Below are 4,407 nucleotides of genomic sequence, written 5' to 3'. Positions count from 1 at the left end.
GGATTTCAACTTTTCCACATTCTCACCAACATTTCTTATTTTCTTTTTTAAAAAAATAATGGCCATCCTAATGGATGTGAGGTGGTATTTCATTGTAGTTTTGGTGTGTTTTTCCCTAATGATTACCAATGTTGAGCATCTTTCCATGTGTATATATAATTTTTAAAAAATTAGTTGTTAACATGAAATACCGTAAATTTCACAATAACTCCAAATTCCTGGCTTCTCTTGACAAAACAAGAGATCTGGCTCAGCTGGGCACTTATTTCCACAAGGCAGCAGTCAGCTACTCGGGAGGGCGGCTGCTCTCTAGAAAGCCCGTGCATTCTCTGGTTTACCGCAGGCCCTACCACTCCCTGTTGCCTGACCCCAGGTGGCACAAAAGTCTGGGACTCCCTAGGGGATGTTAGCAGTACCTCAACTTGTCTATGTCTTCAGATCTTCAGGCCAAGAACTCACCCCGGCCTCATGCACCTCTACCCTGCCCCTGGGCCTTGTGAAAACTGCCAGAACAGCTCCGGAGACCACATCTGACTTCTCCGTGTGCTTCTTGCAATCACCTCTGAACAGGAGCCAAAAAGTATTTGCCAAGTGAATAAGAGAATGGAGCCTTTCTTCATAAATCTTAACAAATCAGTTAAGAATCTAGGTGTGACCAGGGAATGACATCTCGAGCCCAAATGATTTCAGGAGAGGCTGCCAGAGGCCTTTTTGAATGAAGAGCAGCCCAAGTATGGCTAAGCCAGGCACGCAGCCGCGTTTCTGGCATTGTGCTTTCATGGCAAAGGTTTGATGAGGCTTTCTTGAGGTGACCGAGTGAGGAGACCAAAGTTGCTGGGGCGTAACCCTTCTATTGTTGCATTAACCAGGCAAATACGTGGAGGGCTTTTCTAGGTGACTAAGGCCCTAGCAATGTCCTATGGGGTGGAGCTGGTGGGTGTTCCCCTCTCCCATGGGTGGCAGCCAGTACCCAGGAACTTTGGCTGGGGACGCCAAGACTCGGAAAACAAAACCTGGGACTTTGCGTGTCTGAGAAGATAGGCAGGATCCTCCACGCCTCCTCCCAGACTGAACCTGGTGAATCACCCGGCGTATCCCACTGTCAGGAAGGCAGGCACTGAAGTGTCTGTGGCAAACCCAGAGAGAAGAGAAATTGTTCAGGCTGCCTTCCTGGGACCTCCCAGTCTTACCCTTTAAGCAAGGACTTAACAACATCAACAGAGTGGAAAGCAGCCTCTCCTTTCTACCACCTTGAGGATGAGTACCCATTTCACAGGACAGAAGGATGGAGGTTTGTTTCCCAGTGACATGTGACCCTGGACATGAACTATAAAAGCACTGAACTATTAAAGGTCTAGTTGGTCATCTTGAAATTCCAACTTTCTGGCTAGGTTAGTTAGGTGCAGTCTGAATCAATTATGGTTTTACAGAAAGATGCTGTAGCTCTCTGGGGCAGGAACTCATCATTTTGCAGACATAGGCCTGGCTCCAGAAATACTTAAGGGGTCCACGGGACATCAGAGTAAACAACCTGCTGCTTTATTATATTAGTAGTAATCACAAAGTTGATTGTGCACCTGCCTTAAGTGCTTCCTACAAGCCAATCACTCTTCTACACCTTTGCCACATATTGATACTTTTGATTATCACCACGGGGCTTTGAGGTCTGATTGAATTCCAGGATGAAGACGTCGTTGGGGCACCGACAGACAGCGCCTATGGCAAAGAGTGCCCAAGGCAGACAGCTCCCAAGGGGCAGTGCTGGGAGCCATCCTAAAAGCTTGTTCTTTCAACTCCTACAGTATTAGGGTTGTGTGTGGTTCCCATAAAAATAGCTACCTGCTTTCCCTGCCCTCAGAGCACTATTCCACAAGCAAATCCCTGCCCCATGCCCCTCTTTTTTCCCAAATGAATCAAGAGCACCTATGTCCATTATGATCTTTACTCCTCACAACACAGTAAAATGGGTGTTGCTCTAATGCCATCATGAGCTCCACTGTTCAGAGCAGAAAACAGACGCAGAGAGACTTGGTGGTATGGTCACTGGCATAGGCGGGGAGGCCGATGAGGACACTGCCTAGGTCTCCCTGCCCGGGCTGGGGTTCCTGATGCCCTGCCCCCAGTGGGTTACCAGCAAATTCATGATGGATAAATAAGCTTATTGATAACTTCTAGATGGGCAACTTCAGATAATTGACAATATCACTCCCTACTCGTGTCATGTAGCAAAATCTTCTTAAATAATATTTTGGATTGACATTATTGTAAAATATGTTACTATATTTCCTGCATTTTTTTCTTACTTTTTTCCTTCCTCAATTGCCATATTTTATTTTAGCAATTTTGATGGAAATTTTTCTAAAATAGATTACATGATTTTTTATATCTTTTTTTAAGAGTAGCTTTTAAAAATAACTTTACCATGGAAAGTTTTGAAGATACACAGAAATGGTTCAGAGTTGAGTGAATCCACAGTACCCATCGCCCAGCCTCAATTGCCATCAGTGGTGACTGGTCCTGCCCCCCACATCCCACTCAGTGACATCCCCCTCCACCCATAGAACTGAAGCAAATCCCAGACATTGTATCATTTCACTTCTAGATATTTAGACATGTATCTCCAAAAGATACAATTATTTTTATCACAATTACCCTACTCTTTTTCTTTCTTTTCTTGAGACGCAGTCTCACTCTGTCGCCAGCTCAGAGTGCAGTGGTCCTATCTCGGCTCACTGCAACCTCTGCCTCCTGGGTTCAAGCAATTTTCCTGTCTCAGCCTCCCGAGTAGCTGGGACTACAGGTGCATGCCACCACGCCCGGCTAATTTTTGTATTTTTAGTAGAGATGAGGTTTCACCATGTTGGCCAGGATGATCTCGATTTCTTGACCTTGTGATCCGCTGCCTTAGCCTCCCAAAGTGCTGGGATTACAGGCGTGAGCCACCGTGCCTGACCACCCTACTCTTTTTACATATGAAAATTAATAAAAATTTCTTTCTTTTTTTTTTTTTTTTTTTTAAAGAGACAGAGTATCACCATGTTGCATGGGTTGGTCTCGAACTCCTAATCTCAAGTGATCCGCCCACCTTGGCCTCCCAAAGTTCTGGGATTACAGGTGCGAGCCACCGTGCCTGGCCAAAATGTCTTATTTAATATATTCAGTTGTATTCAAATATTCAATTGTATCATACATTTGTACATTTTTAGCAGAATGTTTTTTCTTTAAAAAAAAAAACTTTTTTTTAGGTTCAAAGGTCCTTGTGATAAAGGCCTTGTAATAAAGGCCCTTTATTTTAGGTTCAAAGGTCCATGTGAAGGTTTGTTACATAGGTAAACCCATGTCATGGGGGTTTCTTGGACAGAAGATTTCATCACTCAGGTATTAAACCCAGTACCCAATAGTTATGTTTTCTGCTCTTCTCCCTTCTCCCACCCTCCATCCTCAAATAGACTCCAGTGCACCCTGGAGGTTGGCTCCAGAATCCAATGTACGACCCCAGCATGCTGTTAATTAGGTAATAGTTTAATACAGGGAAGACAGATTCAAGAATGCTGGCTTCCATTATTCTCTGTGTCTTTGTGTGAATCATTTCTCTTTTACTATTAGCAAGGGGAACAAATTATACTCCTTTAATACCATTTTACAATTCTCTGTTGAAAAGGAGCATGGTTCAGATTGTTACAAGCCGTACCAGGCCTCCTTTGAATTATGCAAATCCCAGAGTTATTTCAATATGAAAGAAATGTTTCTAGTTTTTAAATATGACTAACTCCAGGCATAAGTGGAAACTGGTACAACTACCTTGGAAACCCAATTGGCACAGTTTCATAAAGCTGAACACATCCATATCTTTGGATACAGCAGTTTCACACTTCTATGTGTATACTGAAGCAAAATGAGTGCATAGGACCACCAAAAATACCTGCAGGAATGTTTTCAGCATTTCTTTTTGTACCATCCTCAAACTGGGAACAACCCAAATGTCCATCAACAGAGGACATCATACATCATTAGAGAAATGTGATTAAAACAGTGGTGGGATACCACTATACACCTATTAAATGACCCAAATCCACAAAATCCAGAACTCTGACAACACCAAATGTTGATGAAGTTGTGGAGTGACAGGAACTCTCATTCGTTACAACACAAATGAATTTTTGTGGGAATGCAAAATGATACAGCCACTTTGGAAGACAGTTTGGCAGTTTCTTACAAAATTAAAAATATTCTTACCATTTTATCCAGCAGTCGTGCTCTTTGGTATTTACTCAAAGGAGTTGAAAACTTACGTACACACAAAAACCTGCACACAGATTTTATAGTGGCTTTGTTCATAACTGCCAAAACTGGGAACCAACCAAGACGTCCTTCAGTAGGTGAATGGATAAATCAACTGTAGTTCAT

The 4,407-nt window shown here is 43.0% G+C and overlaps 1 annotated feature.

Moving 5' to 3' along the window:
- Window positions 267-1,466: an enhancer, noted in NCBI's record as "P300/CBP strongly-dependent group 1 enhancer chr20:18232893-18234092 (GRCh37/hg19 assembly coordinates)". NCBI's record gives its function as "activates an origin of replication core promoter dependent on BRD2, BRD4, P300/CBP, MED14 and CDK7 cofactors, with strong dependence on P300/CBP, by STARR-seq in HCT116 cells {active_cell/tissue: HCT116}" and the evidence as "EXISTENCE:reporter gene assay evidence [ECO:0000049][PMID:35650434]".

Source organism: Homo sapiens, chromosome 20, assembly GCF_000001405.40.
Source record: "Homo sapiens chromosome 20, GRCh38.p14 Primary Assembly".
NCBI lineage: Eukaryota > Metazoa > Chordata > Mammalia > Primates > Hominidae > Homo > Homo sapiens.
Note: the sequence above shows the minus strand (reverse complement) of the source record. Positions and strands in the feature narration are given on the sequence as shown.